A 15,883-nucleotide genomic window follows, 5' to 3' on the forward strand; every position below is an offset into this window, starting at 1 on the left:
GCCAGCATCACAGACTGCCTCTTCACTTCCTGCCCCTTGGATGCTAATGAGATTGACTCATCTTTATTGTTTGTTGTGTCTTTCTCCACATGCTTGTGAATTCTTTCAGTTTGCATTATTTGATTAATGATGAATAATTTCAGGTATTCGTGTTTTTTTTTTAGGAAATTGCTCACCTATGTCCTAAGCCCACTTTTCCATCAGGATCTTCTTCTTTATGTCATATATATATTGCAAATCTACTAGTTTTTGGTCCATTTGTGTTTTGTTTTGTTTTGTTTTGTTTACTTAGGAGCCAAATAGGAAATAATTGTCTAAAAGCAACAGTGAAATGAAGCAAATGAATCTGTGAATTAAATTGGTGACATGACCACACACAGGAACTATTCCAAATATCTTTAAAATGAGTAATTTAGCTATACATCCTTAGAGGGATATATTCTTTTATTTTTCTTTTTGAGACAAGGTCTTTCTCTGTCACCCAGGCTGGAGTGCAGTGGTGCAATCACGGCTGACTGCAGCCTCTGCCTCCCAAGTTCAAGTGAACCTCCCACCTCAGCCTGCCTCCCGCTGCCACACACCTGGTCTTGTCTGTCTCGTCTCGTCTCATCTCGCCTTATCTCGTCTTGTCTTTTCTTTCTTTTTTTCCCTCTCTTCCTTCCTTTCCTTCCTTCCTCCCTCCCTTCCTCCCTTCCTTCCTTCCTTCTTCCCCCCTCTCTCCCTCTCCCTCCCTCTTTCTTTCTTTCTTTTGAAATGGGGACGGGGTTTTGCTCTGTTGCCCACGCTCATCTCAAGTTTCTGGGCTCAAGCGATCCACCTGCCTCGGCCTCCCAGAGTGCTGGGATTACAGGCATCAGCCACCGTGCCCTGCTCCCCAGGAGGATATATTCTAAGGACACCAAGGCTGAAAAAAGTTTTTAGGCCAGACACTGTGGCGCACACCTGTAGTCCTAGCACTTTGGGAGACTGAGGTGAGAGGATCCCTTCAGTTTAGGACTTCGAGACTAGCCTGCACAAAATAGTGAGATCTCAGCTCTGGAAAAAAATTTTTTAAAGAAAATTAGTGGGACGTAGTGGCACATACCTGTAGTCCCAGCTACTTGGGACGCTGAGGCGGGAGGACTGCTTAAGCCCAGGAGGCTGAGGCTACAGTAAGCCATGATTGTGCCACTGCACCTCAACCTGGGCAGCAGAGCCAGACCTTGTCTTAAAAAACAAAATTTTTTTTAAATCATTTCCAGTAATCGTATCAGTATTGGTATTATTTTTCAGAGGCTATCGTATGGGTAATGTCAGTTAAAGCAAATAAGCGACTACACTTGTGTGGTCGAAACTAGGATTTTTGGTATGAAAGAAAGGAGATTGGCTCCCTCTCCCTCTCCCTCTCCCCCTCCCCCTCCCTCCCCCTCTCCCTCTCCCTCTCCCTCTCCCCACGGTCTCCCTCTCCCTCTCTCCCCACGGTCTCCCTCTCCCTCTCTTTCCACGGTCTCCCTCTGATGCCGAGCCGAAGCTGGACTGTACTGCTGCCATCTCGGCTCACTGCAACCTCCCTGCCTGATTCTCCCTCAGCCTGCCGAGTGCCTGCGATTGCAGGCGCGCGCCGCCACGCCTGACTGGTTTTCGTATTTTTTTGGTGGAGACGGGGTTTCGCTGTGTTGGCCGGGCCGGTCTCCAGCTCCTAACCGCGAGTGATCCGCCAGCCTCGGCCTCCCGAGGTGCCGGGATTGCAGATGGAGTCTCGTTCACTCAGAGCTCAATGGTGCCCAGGCTGGAGTGCAGTGGCGTGATCTCGGCTCGCTACAACCTCCACCTCCCAGCCGCCTGCCTTGGCCTCCCAAAGTGCCGAGATTGCAGCCTCTGCCCGGCCGCCACCCCGTCTGGGAAGTGAGGAGCGTCTCTGCCTGGCCGCCCATCGTCTGGGATGTGAGGAGCCCCTCTGCCTGGCTGCCCAGTCTGGAAAGTGAGGAGCGTCTCTGCCCGGCCGCCATCCCATCTAGGAAGTGAGGAGCGCCTCTTCCCGGCCGCCATCCCATCTAGGAAGTGAGGAGCGTCTCTGCCCGGCCGCCCATCGTCTGAGATGTGGGGAGCACCTCTGCCCCGCCGCCCCGTCTGGGATGTGAGGAGCACCTCTGCCTGGCCGCGACCCCGTCTGGGAGGTGAGGAGCGTCTCTGCCCCGCCGCCCCGTCTGAGAAGTGAGGAGACCCTCCGCCCGGCAGCCGCCCCGTCTGAGAAGTGAGGAGCCCGTCCGCCCGGCAGCCGCCCCATCTGAGAAGTGAGGAGCCCCTCCGCCCGGCAGCCACCCCGTCTGGGAAGTGAGGAGCGTCTCCACCCGGCAGCCACCCCGTCCGGGAGGGAGGTGGGGGTCAGCCCCCGCCAGGCCAGCCGCCCCCTCCGGGAGGGAGGTTGGGGGGTCAGCCCCCGCCCGGCCAGCTGCCCCGTCCGGGAGGTGAGGGGCGCCTCTGCCCGGCCGCCCCTACTGGGAAGTGAGGAGCCCCTCTGCCCGGCCACCACCCCGTCTGGGAGGCGTACCCAACAGTTCATCGAGAACGGGCCATGATGACAATGGCGGTTTTGTGGAATAGAAAAGGGGGAAAGGTGGGGAAAAGATTGAGAAATCGGATGGTTGCTGTGTGTGTAGAAAGAAGTAGACATGGGAGACTTTTCATTTTGTTCTGTACTAAGAAAAATTCTTCTGCCTTGGGATCCTGCTGATCTATGACCTTACCCCCAACCCTGTGCTCTCTGAAACATGTGCTGTGTCCACTCAGGGTTAAATGGATTAAGGGCGGTGCAAGATGTGCTTTGTTAAACAGATGCTTGAAGGGAGCATGCTCGTTAAGAGTCATCACCACTCCCTAATCTCAAGTACCCAGGGACACAAACACTGCGGAAGGCCTCAGGGTCCTCTGCCTAGGAAAACCAGAGACCTTTGTTCACTTGTTTATCTGCTGGCCTTCCCTCTACTATTGTCCTATGACCCCGCCAAATCCCCCTCTGCGAGAAACACCAAAAAATGATCAATAAAAAAAAAAAAAAAAAAAAAAGAAAGGAGATTGGCCAGTCACCGTGGCTCATACCTGTAGTCCCAGCAACTTGCAAGGCTGAAGCAGGAGGATCACCTGAGCCCAGGAGTTTGAGGCTGCAGTGAGCTATGATCTTGCCACTGCACTCCAGCCTAGATGACACTGGGAAACCTCATCTCTAAATATTTTAAATTATAAAATTGTTTAAATATTAAACTTGAATCTGATCAAGTCTCCAGATTTAGATTGCTATTTTCATGAAATGCAACGAGACAGAGGAACATGTTAAATGATATCATGAAGATGAAATCAGCAAAATTCACTCCGTGGGAAACCTGACAAGACAAAAGATCCAGTTCTTCAATTTTAAAAAATTGCAAGTCAAAAAAAGATGGAGGGGGAAAGTATAGATGAAAAGAAACATAGAAGACAAAATAATTGCTCTAGCTATCGGGGCAAGGAGAATTAAGCTTTACCTTTATATGGGAGGAGTGCCAAGAATTTTCAGAAAATGTTTAAAGCCATCACAATAACTAATTACCATATGTGATTTAGTATTTAAAAACTATTTTTTTTTTAAGAGAGATGAGGTCTTGCTGTGTTGCCCAGACTGGCCTCGAATTCCTAGGCTCAAGCAATCTTCCCACCTGGCCCTCCTGAGTACCTCCAGAGAAGCTGGGATTATAGGCACATACCACTGCACCTGGCTTAAAAAAATTTTTTTTAAATAATAATAATACAAATATTCAGGAAATGTACATTTATGATATTATATACATGAACATATGATATTGGATATATTATGATATCAAGCAATTGTTGATTTGGAGGTGTATGATGATGGTGTTGTGGTTATTTTAAGAGAGGAAGCCCTTGTCTTTTAGACACACATACAAAAATATTTACAGATGAAAATATGTGATGATTTGCTTCAAAATAATTTGGAAATATGTGTGGAAATGTAAAGGAAACAAGATTACCTACAATGCAATCATGGACATTGGATGATGGGTATAAGGAGACTCATATAATTCTTCCTACTGTGTTTGCAAATGTTTACAATAAAACGTTTTAAATCATTAATACTTTAAACAAAGAGGGCCAGGCACGGTGGCTCACACCTGTAATCCCAGCACTTTGGGAGGCTGAGGCAGGCAGATTACCTGAGGTCAGGAGTTCGAGACCAGCCTGCCCAACATGGTGAAACCCTGTCTCTACTAAAAATACAAAAATTAGTCAGGCATGATGGCACGCCCCTGTAGTCCCAGCTACTCAGGAGGCTAAGGCACAAGAATAAATAAATAAATAATAAAGAGTAACCAGGTATCTGAAACTAACTTTAAGAGGTGATTTAGGCTGGGCATGGTGGCTTATGCCTGTAATCCCAGCACTTTGGGAGGCCAAGGCGGGTGGATCACCTGAGGTCAGGAGTTCAAGACCAGCCTGACCAACAAGGTGAAACCCTGTCTTTACTAGAAATACAAAAATTAGCTGGGCTTGATGGCAGGCACCTGTAATCCCAGCTACTCAGGAGGCTGAGACAGGAGAATTGCTTGAACCTGGTAGGTGGAGTTTGCAGTGAGCCGAGATCGCACCACTGCACCCCAACCTGGGTGATGGAGTGAGACTGAGACTCCGTCTAAAAAAAAAAAAAAAGAGGTGATTTAGGCAGAAAATACTTTCAAGAAAGGTTTAAGTGAATCTTGAGTGTGAAGTCAATAGTGGGGAATGGAAGCCAATTAGGAACAAAGGTTGAGGATAACCAGTCTGTCCGCCAAATCCTGCCAGCATCCTGGGCTGGGTACACTAGAAATCCTTGTGGCTCATGTAATCCACTAGTAAGAAAGGTCAAAGACAATAGTCTTGCTTTAGTAGTTCAAAGCTTTCTGACCTCCGTAACATGAGAGTCCATGATTTTCTTAGGCTCAGGAGGGTGGGGAGAACGTTGGCTGAATAAATTATCTCCTCATGCTAGTACGCCTTTGAGAACAGTTAAAACCTGCCATCTGCAAGCACTGAGGGTTCTCTAGAGTTATTCTGACATTGGGACAAGAAGCCTTTAGAACCTGGGGACAAAGGAGCCATCAGAAGACCTGAAGAAGAACCTGAGACTGTGGACAAATACAGGGGCTCAAAATAAAACCCATCTCTAAACAACAGGAAGCCAGAGGAGATGGCTATGTTTGTTCTATGAACTTTCTTGCAAGCCTCCTCACAATCACCTCTAGTCAGATGCCCTGTGTATTAGCTTGTTTTCACACTGCTAATAAAAACATACTGAGATTGACTAATTTATAAAGAAAAAGAGGTTTAATGGACTCACAGTTCCACGTGGCTGTAGAGGCTTCACAATCATGGAGGAAGGCAAAAGGCACATCTTACATGGTGGCAGACAAGAGACAAGGAGAGCCAAGTGAAAGGGGAAATCCCTTATAAAACCATCAGATCTAATGAAACTTATTCACTGTCACGAGAACAGTATGGGGGAAACCACCCCCATGATTGAATTATCTCCCACTGGGTCCCTCCCACATGTGGGAATTATGGGAGCTACAATTCAAGATGAGATTTAGGTGGGGACACAGCTAAGCCATATCACTCTGCTACCTCTCATAAGAATTACGGTCTTTGGGAAGGGGATTTTCTTTTCCAGGCAGGAGCCTACTAACCTTGGCAGCCAGGTTTTTGGATCTCAAGCCCAACCCTATGAGGCTGATCACTTGTCTGTACTCCCTGCAGGAGCCATCCTCAGGGGATGCAAGGAAGCTGAAAATGGGCTTGCCTGAATCTTCCTGCTAAACCCAGCTCTGAATCTAATTGAACGTGTGTGTTGGAGGTCTCTGAGGCCACCTGCAGGCTCTCACAGGACTCAGCATAGCTGTTACACTTGTGGTTACGGTTTATTACAGTGAAAGGAAACGGGGTGAAATCAGCAAGGGAAAAAGGCACAGGGTGGAGTCCACGAGAAACCAGGCACAAACTTCCAGCTGTCTTCACTGAGTGGATTCACACAGAACAGTGCTTAATTCTCTCAGCAACAGTGTGTGACAACACATGTGAAGTGCTGCCAACCAGGGAAGCCCCCCTAAGCCTTGGTGTCCAGAGTTTTTATTGGGGATCAATTACATAGTCATGCAGTACCCATATAACGGACCTTAGCTGCTCAGTCTCCAGCCCCAAGAAATCAAACTAATAGATGCATCCCAAGGTCTTGGGCCACAAAGACACTCTTATCAGGTAGGACACTCAAGGGTCTGGATGCACACCCCAGGAGCCAGTGAGGCCCAGTCCTGAAGACCCTTGGAATATGCAGGGTTTGGGTAACTAAGTCCTCCTGGGCTAACCCTTTACTGAAACACTTATTAGCACTTACTACATTTCACCTTTTATTGTTATCTACATTTTTATCATTGTGGTATTGTGATTTATGATAAGAAATAGATTCGGTCGCTGTCCAGTTTCTGGCACAGAACTCCTAAAAACCCCTGGAGGCCAGACACAGTGGCTCACGCCTATAATCCCAGCACTTTGGGATGCGGAGCCGGATGGATTACTTGAGGTCAGGCTGGAGTTCGAGACCAGCCTGACCAACATGGTGAAACCCCGTTTCTAGTTAAAAAAAAAAATTAGGCAGGCACGGTGGCACATGCCTGTAATCCCAGCTACTTGGGAGGCTGAGGCAGGAGAATTGCTTGAACCCAGGAGGCGGAGGTTGCAGTGAGCCAAGATCACGCCATTGCACTCCAGCCTGGGCAACAAGACTGAAACTCCATCTTAAAAAAAATAAAACAAACCCTTGGAATTTCCAAAGCATTAAGAAGTGTAGAGTGAAAGGAGCACTGTTTATTATTCCTAATGAGACCTCTTCAACCACAGCTGAGTTTATGTTAATGCGGTCACTGTTCGAAAGCCCATAAGGATGGTTGGCTTGTTGTGGGAGGGGCCGACAATGTGATTAGAAGGTTGGACCTTTTTAGCCTACCCCTGACCTCTGGGGAGAGGAGAAGGACTGGGTGGAGGTTGAGTTAATCAACAACGGCCAATGTTTTAGTCCATCATGCCTGTGCAATGAAGCCTTCATAAAAACCCCTAACTAAAGGGTTTGGGAGAGCTTCCAGGTTGCTGAACATATGGAGGAGCTGGGAGGGCGAACCCAGAGAGACCATGGAAGCTCCACGCCCCTTTCCCTATGCGTGTCTTCCATCTGGCTGTTCCTGAGTTGCATCCTTTTATAACAAACTGATAATCTAGTAAATAAACTATTTTCCTGAGATATGTGAATTGTTCTGGCAAATTATCAAACCCAAGGAAGGAGTGGTAGGAACCCCAGTTTATAGCAGATGCACAAGTCACACCACTGGACATGTGACTGGCATCTGAAGTGGGGTGCAGTCTTGCAGAACTGAGCCATTCACGGGGTGCAGTCTTGCAGAACTGAGCCATTCACCTCTGGAATTTGATGCTAACTCCAGGTAGGTAGTATCAGAATCTATTGAATTGGGCTGGGCATGGTGGTTCACGCCTGTAATCCCGGCATTTTCAGAGGCTGAGGCGGGTGGATCACCTGAGAAGAGGAGTCCAAGACCAACCTGGCCAACATGGCGAAACCCCGTCTCTAACAAAAATACAAAAATTAGCCGGGCGTGGTGGCACATACCTGTAGTCCCAGCTACTTGGGAGACTGAGGCAAGAGAATCTCTTGAACCTGGGAGGTGGCAGTTGCAGTGAGCTGAGATTGCACAACTGCACTGCAGCCTGGGCGACAGAGACGCCATCCCAAGAAAAGAAAAAATAAAAAAGAATCTATTGAATTTTAAGACACCCAACTGATGTCTACCAAAGAACGGAATTAATTGTGTGGGAAAAACCCTATACAATCTGGTGTCAGAATTGAGAGTCACAGTAGAGGAGAGAGAAAAAAGAGTTTTTCCTTTCAACCATATAAATTGTGTCTCCCCAACGAGAGTGGAGGGCACCAACTGTGTCATATACCTGTTGGTATCCTGGGAGTTTGCAGAGTCCCATGTATTAGTAGCTGCCCGATAAACATTTATTTTTTCTTATCATGTCAGTGACACTTGCTCAGGTTGTTATTGACCTAGGATATCCTTCCAGCTTCTATTAGTTATTATTCATCCAATCCATTCATCTGTCTATCAATATCCCAATCAAGTGCTACCTCCTCATGAGATGCTCCCCATCTATTCTGGCCCACTTTGACGTATTTCTTTTCTAAATTCCTGGCACATTTTCTGTTTATATATTCTGACTTCTGTCACATTCAGCCTTAAAATGTTACTTAAGTGTTTTATGTGACTAAGGCTTGTCTCCCAACTAGACTGTAAGTGTCTGGAGAAAACAGGCTGGTTTCTACCTGTTTTTTGTACTCCCTTTCACGGCCAGCTCAGGGCCTTAATGTAGTAGGTGCTCAATAAATATGAGATGGCCAATGAAGGTAGATACACCCTTCCCCTCTGGGCCTTTCTCTCTCTCTTTCTCTCTGTCTCTTTCTCTGTACTGAGGCCAGACCACTGCTTCATAAATAAGCAAAGAAATGAATTGTAGTAATGAATAATCAGCACAAGATTTTTGCAAAGACTAAAGTTTTATTCCAATCAGTGTTTTTTTTTCCTTTGGAAGACACATCTCTGAGCTCTCTGTGAGGAGGACAGCCTCATTGATGCCCTCAGTGATGTAATTTATGTTGTTGGCATTGATACAGCTGAAGTTAATCTGACCGTTCTTGGGGATATAGATGTGCTTCTTCCTGACCAGGTATTCCACCTGCTGGGCTAAAATCATGACAAGGTCTCAGATCTCGAGACTGGCCATCTCGAATTCTCCTCTAGCCCAGGCTGGTTTATTTTCTTATTTTTTTATTGATTGATTGATTGAGATGGAGTTTTGCTCTTGTTGCCCAGGCTGGAGTTCAATGGTGCAATCTTGGCTCACTGCAACCTTCGCCTCCCAGGTTCAAGCGATTCTCCTGCCTCAACCTCCCAAGTAGCTATGATTACAGGATGCACCACCATGCACGGCTAATTTTCATATTTTATTTTTTAGTAGAGACGGGGTTTCACCATGTTGGCCAGGCTGGTCTCGAACTCCTGACCTCAGGTGACCCACCCGCCTCGGCCTCTCAAAGTGTTGGGATTACAGGCATGAGCCACTGCACCGGGCACCCAGGCTGGTTTATGAAGGATAGGGAGTGTCGGTACTTCTGGGGGTCCAGAAGTGTCTTTAAAGCAGCCCATTTTCCAGAGGACAGAATCAAAATCTGGAGTGAAGCTAGGAACTGGTCACCTAGTCAGTGAAGTTTAATGCTCAAATACAGGCCAAAGGTCAGAAAGGGGGGACACCAGCCCCCTAGACCCTTACAGTTGAGTCCAAGATAGCCGTGGGTCCCACTCTGCTCGGTGATGTGACCCCAGGACCCAGGGGTTCCCAGGAGCTGGAGTTTCTCCTTCACTTTTTCCTTGGTTAGCATGATGTTCTCTACAACTTCTTTTAGACTCTGCTTCCTACCAAGGAAGGACAATGAGAAAGGAGGGTGTGAGGTCCCCCTTGCCCTCAAACCTCCCTCATTGCCAGTCCACTCTTCTTACCTTCAAAGGTCTCCAACAGAGTGCCAGAGGCTCTGGGATGATTATGAGTGGGAGGGAGGTTTGATCTCATATTCATTTAAGCAAACCAGGGAGGCTCCCAGGCAGATTTTGCCAGAGTTGCAAGCCCCTGATGCTCTCTTATCTCCCCAAGCAATCTGGAAGAGTTCATATAACTCATTGGCCTGGGTGCAAAACAAATGTCCTATCACTCTGTCCCCTAAGGCAACCCTTGGCATAGCCACCGCCATTGGTACACATCAGGTCCTTAGTAAATGTTGATGAATGAATGGAGTAAAAAGGCCACATGGGCAGGAGAGAAGCACCCTGCCGAATCCTGCAGATCAGCAGGTCTGCAGGCACCCAGGGCCTCTCCCATCCCTTCCTGCTCCAGCCCTCACCCTTACCATTCTCCCAGCAGAGCAGGGTTGCAGAGGATGGAGGTGATGACACGTGCACCCGTGTTGGGGGGGTTTAGCCACAGGGCCTGGGCTAATCCTTCCAGCTGGGAGAGGACACACAGCAGCTGCTGGTTGTTGACTGCCACCACCACTAGCATCCCCACTCCTTCATCTGCAGTGTTGGGAAGACAGCCTCAGCCTCAGCCCCTTCCTCCACTCCCAAGGCCTTCACCTAGATCTCAACCCCCAACCTTGCAGAAGAAAGGGTTGAACCACAAGGCCCTCATTGCAGCCCAGCCAGGGTGATATTCAGGCTCCGGGAAGTTGCCAGAGGCTCTCCTTCCAGCAAAAGTACCCATAAGTCAGAGTCTTAAAGGAGGAAGGAATTTGAAAGATCACTAAGTTCTACTCTCCTGTTTTTTCCTTTCCTTTCCTTTTTTATTTTTATTTTTATTTTTATTTGTTTAAAGTGACCATCTCTCTCTGTTGCCCAGGCTAGAGTGCAATGGTGGAATCATAGCTCACTGCAACCTCTACCTCCTGGGCTTAAGCAATCCTCCTGCCTCAGCCCCCCGGGTGGGTAGGACTACTGGTGTGTACCACCATGCCCGACTAATTTTTTTAATTGTTTGTAGAGACCGGGTCTCGGTGTGTTGCCCAGGCTGGTCTTGAATTCCTGGCCTCAAGTGATCACCTAACCTTGACCTCCCAAAGGAGGGATTAGGAGGTGTCAACTGGGATTACAGGTGTCACCCACCATGCCAGCCCCACCCTCTCATCTTATAGTTGAGGAAACAGAGGCCTGAGGGGGTGAAATGATCCAAGCCAAGCTGGGTTGGGTTCTGTTACTAGATTTAGTAACAGAACCAAATTCTAGCTCAGTGCTCCCCACTTCTGCTTCTATAGTGCTCTCCCTAGAGTCCTTGGCTCCCTCCCAAGGATGAGATATCAAAAACATCACTGTGCTGTGAGCGCAGCACCACTTCAGCAACAGACCCTCCCTTCTTCTGCCTGTACCATACCATAAATGCCAAAATTCTTGGACAGAGACTGGCTGCAGAAGAACTCAAAGCCTTGAGACACAAAGTATTGTAAGATTCTAGTATCTTCTTCCAAGTCACTGGTGTATAAACCTTGACAGGGAATATCAAAAAATGGGAATATCTGCTTGCTCTGTAGGAGAAAGGAGAACAAAAAAAGAATGAGACAGATGGAGGAGAGAGCAGAGAGTCAAAGACAGGAAGGTCGGGTGGGAGATTGGGTTTACCTTTATCATGGACATCAACTTTGCCCACCCACTTGGTGTCAACTTGCAGTCGATAATGTTCCCCATCACAAGGACACAGCCATGTGGGATCTGCTGCAGGTACAGACGGTCTCATCAGGCTTCACCCCCACCCAGGAGTGGCGGCCCCAGGGCATTTGGGGGTGAAGTGCTCCTCCATGTTAGTTACCATTGAAGGGCCAGGCAAATTCAAACCTGGAAAAGGTCTTGGATGACTTAAGAGGTGTGGGGAGGAGAGGAACATTAGGCTGTAAGTCAGCTCTAGGGAGGAGTTTCTGAGCGGGGCCCCTCTACCTCCACCACATTGAGGAGTATGTCGGGGTCCATGCATAGCTTCTTGGGGTCCCAGACAGAGTATTCATAAACTGTAAAGCCCATGTCCTGGAAGACGAGTCCATGCAGTTCTGTGGGAACACAGCCCCCCACTAGCTGGTACATGGGAAACAGAGAGACGGAGACAGAGGTACTGGAGTGTGGGGCTGAGAGTCACTGGCTGAAGGTGGGACATTAACAGGAAAAGGACATAAATAGCTTGGCTTGTCTGCCATTTTGCTCATGACAGAGAATGAGGGATAACAGTGAAGATGGCAAATGGGGTGAGGATTAGGAACAAGGGACGGGGATTGCTGTTCCCCTCATCTTGGGTAAGACTAACCTTTTTGAGAAGAGATGATGTAAACTATACGAGCATCCTTATGCCAAGCTCTGAGAAACTGGACGCCAAGCTGGAAGGCACCACTGTCACCAACAGTGTGTACACCCCCTACCTGCCAGCAAGACATAGACACAAATAGGCCAGGTGTGGTGGCTCACACCTGTAATTCCAGCACTTTGGGAGGCTGGGGTGGGTGGATCACTCGAGGTCATGGCCAACATGTTGAAACCCCGTATCTACTAAAAATACAAAAATTAGCCGGATGTGGTGTTGGGCATGTGTAATCCCCGCTACTCAAGAGGCTGAGGCAGGAGAATCACTTGAACCCGGAAGGCGGAAGTTGCAGTGAGCGGAGATCAGGCCACTGCACTCCAGTCTGGGTGACAGAGTGAGACTCCGTCTCAAAAAAATAATAAGTAAATAAACATTAAAAAATAAAAAGAAATAGACAGAAATAACACTCTAAAACAGTAATGGAGGCGAGACGCAGTAGCTCATGCCTGTAATCCCAGCACTTTGGGAGGACGAGGCAGGGAATCCCCTGAGGCCAGGAGTTTGAGACCAGCCTGGCCAACATGGTGAAACCCTGTCTCTACAAAAAATACAAAAATTAGCTGGGCGTGATGGCACATGCCTGTGATTCCAGCTACTCAGGAGGATGCAGCACCAGAATTGCTTGAACCTGGGAGGTGGAGGTTGCAGTGAGCTGAGATGGCACCACTGCACTCTAGCCTGGGTGACAGAGTGAGACTCTGTCTCAAAAAATATATATAATAGGTTAAAAAATAAAACAGTAATGGGAATACTAACACCACCTCCAATTCAGATCATTCCTGTCTTGAAAGAGCTTTCAAATCAGCAGTGTGAGCAGGTGGGAATACCACTGGACTGAGATTCCGATCCTGACTCGATGGCTAAGGACTTGTGGACTCTCTGAGCCTCAGGTATCTCTTTTATCAATACCAGGGGGCCCTCCGAGGTCCCCTTCGGGTTTAAGGTTGTGCAGACCCAGATCGCCACTCTCTGTGTCTAAATGAGCCAGGGGAGGGCCCACCTTCTCACCCTGTTCTCCACAATGGCTTGGCTGTGCTTTCCAAAGAGGAGTGCTAGAGAGGCCTGGATGAATGATTTCAGGCCCATGGTGGGCAAGTACTCATAATTCAGGGAGGGATCCTGTGAAATCTGTAGTCGAGTCTTCTGCACCACGAGAGAAACCCAGGGATGGCCTTCATTTGTCATGCAGACTGTGAGGAAAACCACAGAGGGAGCTCCAGATGCCTGGTTTGGGCCCCCAGGGCTGAGCTCTGCAGACAGCCTGCAAACAAATCTCTCCTGGACTCCATGGGGCTGTGGGAAGGTGCCTGTGAAAATACAACTTTCCCTTTTCTTTTCTCCTTGATGAAAAGAATATGCTGTTAGTGAATGTGTATTATTTTTGTCTTTTTAAAAAAGACAACTGAAACCTATGCCATTTTAAAGGTTAAAAATTATACAAGCCCAGGATTGGTGGCTCAGGCCTGTAATCCCAGCACTTCGGGAGGCTAAGGTGGGTGGATCACTTGAGTTCAGGAGTTCAAGATCAGCCTGGGCAACATGATGAAACCCTGTCTCTACAAAAAAATACAAAACAGCCAGACATGGTGACCAGCGCCTGTAGTCCCAGCTACTCAGGAGGCTGAGGCAAGAGGATGGTTTGAGCCCAGGAGGCAAAGGTGGCAGTGAGCTGAGATCTTGCCACTGCACTTCAGCCTGGGCAACAGAGTGAGGCCCTGTCTCAAGAAAAAAAAAAAAAAAATATATATATATATATATATATATATATATATATATATATATGCAAAATGAGAGTTATAGGTAGATGAAGCTAAATAAAGGTAACCCTGACTTTCACAGTGGTGAGCCCCAGTTGCATAGCAGAAAGCTCAATCTGGAGAACCATTCTTGGTTCAAGAACAGGAAGAGAAAGAGAAAGAGAGAGAGAGGAGGTAAGAATCTGAAGAAGTGTGGGATGGCCATGCAGGCCCCCAAGCATAGAGTTGTGGAAGAGGACATAGCTCTCACCAAATCCCTAGAAGCCCCCAGAGAAGGGCAGAGAGCATGGAATGACCTGGGACCTTATCTGCACTTTTCCCCACTGGGTAATTCTGTTAACAAGAAAAGATCTCTCCACCCACAGAAGCTTGGGCTGCACCCCTCCCCCTGCAGCAGGGAACACTGTCCTCCTAGAGGCAGTTACCATCACTTAAGTCTTATACTTCAGAACTGCTAGGCATCTACCTCTATAGGCTAAGAATATCTTGTTCGGGTAATCATCTTGTTTGTAGGTCTTTAACAAGCTGCCCTCTAGCTTGTGGGCGAGGGGCACATCCATGAACACTGAAAGGGTGGGCATAACTGAAACGAAACTGGAGCCAAGACTATGTGTCTCTGCTCCTGTGTTCCGCTTCTGCCCAGAAGTCTTCCTCCAAGGCTGGGCCGGGCAGTCCTGCCTCTTCCTGGAACCTTGGCAGCCCCAGTGCAGAGGCGCTGGACAACGGGTTGCCAGGGCAACAGAACCTCATGATCTTTGTGGTGGCGATCCACAGGGGCCACAGGAACATTCCAGGGTACTTGAGGAGAATCCCCTCAGACAGCGGGCAGGGCAGGATAACAATCTCCGGAATTCCCAAGCCCGTTTCCCTCACTCAATGCCTTCTCTTCTCTAGCCCCAGGTGGCTCAGTCCAAAGTAACAAGCCCACTCCTTAGATGACAGGGCAAGGATAATGGGAGATTACTTAACAGATACAATGTACATTGTTGGGGTTATGGATACCCTAAAAGCCCTGACTTCACCACTATGCGATGTATGCATCTAACAAAATTACACTTGTACTTCACACATTTATACAAATTAAAAAAAAAAAAAAGAAAGAAAGACATAGGGCAAGGCAGGCAGCCAATAAGCCAGATAGGGCTTCTCCTGCAGAAGCAAAAACCCCAGATCACACACCAATGCAAGTCGAGGCATTGATTTCCATTTTGCAAAGTGCCCCAGATTTCAAAAGGAATAAAAAGCAAACACTGTTTTCTTCCACAGTTGTTTTAATAAAGAATCCTATTATTAGAATATAATTGGCAACTCACTAAGCCAGTCCTATTTCTCTCAGTTATCTAGAGCCAAGACTTCTACATATGTTTGTTAAGTTTCTTTTTCTTTCTTTTTTTGGTTTTTTTTTTTTTTGAGATGGAGTCTCACTTTGTCGATAGTCTCGAACTCCTTGCCTCAGGTGATCTGCCTGCCTTGGCCTCCCAAACTGCTGGGATTACAGGCATGAGCCACCACACCTGGCCATTTGTTAAGTTTCAATGACAGCCAACTAGTAAGTATAGACAGCAGAGGCCAAGGGGAGAAAAGAGCCAGCCTCTATAGAGTCAGTCTGCATATTGCTTGCTTTCTTTTCCTTTTGATGTTTAATGACTCTCTCTTTTTTTTTTTTTTTTTTTTTGAGACAGAGTCTCGCTCTTGCTGCCCACATTGGAGTGCAGTGGTGTGATCTCGGCTCACTGCAACCTCTGCTTCCCAGGTTCAAGAGATTCTCCTGCCTCAGCCTCCCGAGTAGCTGGGATTACAGGCATGCGCCACCACACCCAACTAATTTTGTATTTTTAGTAGAGAGGGGGATTTCTCCATGTTGATCAGGCTGGTCTCAAACTCCAGACCTCAGGTGATCTGCCCACCTGGGCCTCCCAAAGTGCTGGGATTACAGGCGTGAGTCACTGCGCCCGGCTTTTTTTTGTATTTTTAGTAGAGACAGGGTTTCACCACGTTGGCCAGACTGGTCTCAAACTCCTGACCTCAAGTGATCTGCCTACCTCAGCCTCCCAAAGTGTTAGGATTACAGGCATGAGCCACCACACCCAGCCTGATGTTAAATA

At 47.8% G+C, this 15,883-nt stretch overlaps 1 protein-coding gene across 5 annotated transcripts, besides 3 other annotated features; it reads right to left on the minus strand.

The window, feature by feature from the left end:
* Positions 2,741-3,035: an enhancer, noted in NCBI's record as "tiled region #5273; HepG2 Activating non-DNase unmatched - State 24:Quies". NCBI's record gives its function as "activates a minimal TATA promoter and a strong SV40 promoter by Sharpr-MPRA in HepG2 cells {active_cell/tissue: HepG2}" and the evidence as "EXISTENCE:reporter gene assay evidence [ECO:0000049][PMID:27701403]".
* Positions 8,611-14,454, minus strand: GOT1L1 (glutamic-oxaloacetic transaminase 1 like 1). Of its 5 annotated transcripts, none has more exons than XM_005273399.4 (9): positions 14,245-14,454; positions 13,030-13,211; positions 11,968-12,079; positions 11,607-11,716; positions 11,295-11,384; positions 11,050-11,200; positions 10,034-10,199; positions 9,403-9,545; positions 8,611-8,816 (listed from the first exon to the last, which is right to left on the minus strand). In XM_005273399.4, exons 1-9 carry the CDS (start codon positions 14,357-14,359, stop codon positions 8,623-8,625), a joined length of 1,263 nt encoding a protein of 420 aa, XP_005273456.1. In that variant the 5' UTR covers positions 14,360-14,454; the 3' UTR covers positions 8,611-8,622. The 5 variants fall into 5 exon arrangements, 4 of the variants coding, with proteins under 4 accessions (XP_005273456.1, NP_689626.2, XP_006716348.1 ...); NM_152413.3 differs by having other exon boundaries at positions 11,295-11,387; XR_949376.3 differs by lacking the exon at positions 8,611-8,816 and adding an exon at positions 9,630-9,784 and having other exon boundaries at positions 9,473-9,545; positions 11,295-11,387.
* Positions 9,617-10,118: an enhancer, noted in NCBI's record as "H3K27ac hESC enhancer chr8:37792805-37793306 (GRCh37/hg19 assembly coordinates)". NCBI's record gives its function as "activates a minimal SCP1, AML or CMV promoter by ChIP-STARR-seq in naive H9 embryonic stem cells {active_cell/tissue: H9 hESC(naive)}" and the evidence as "EXISTENCE:reporter gene assay evidence [ECO:0000049][PMID:30033119]".
* Positions 13,960-14,476: an enhancer, noted in NCBI's record as "OCT4-NANOG-H3K4me1 hESC enhancer chr8:37797148-37797664 (GRCh37/hg19 assembly coordinates)". NCBI's record gives its function as "activates a minimal SCP1, AML or CMV promoter by ChIP-STARR-seq in naive H9 embryonic stem cells {active_cell/tissue: H9 hESC(naive)}" and the evidence as "EXISTENCE:reporter gene assay evidence [ECO:0000049][PMID:30033119]".

The sequence above is a fragment of the Homo sapiens genome, chromosome 8 (assembly GCF_000001405.40).
Source record: "Homo sapiens chromosome 8, GRCh38.p14 Primary Assembly".
NCBI lineage: Eukaryota > Metazoa > Chordata > Mammalia > Primates > Hominidae > Homo > Homo sapiens.

Bases quoted from the DNA above. Each gene is read 5' to 3' on its own strand.
- GOT1L1 (NM_152413.3), bottom strand. From the start codon at position 14,359: ATGCCCACCCTTTCAGTGTTCATGGATGTGCCCCTCGCCCACAAGCTA. The intron at 11,388-11,606 runs GTAGAGGGGCCC...CTGTACCTGCAG, and splicing joins TACTCCTCAATGTGGTGGAG to CAGATCCCACATGGCTGTGT. The intron at 8,817-9,402 runs GTAAGGGTCTAG...TCATGATTTTAG, and splicing joins CGGCTATCTTGGACTCAACT to CCCAGCAGGTGGAATACCTG.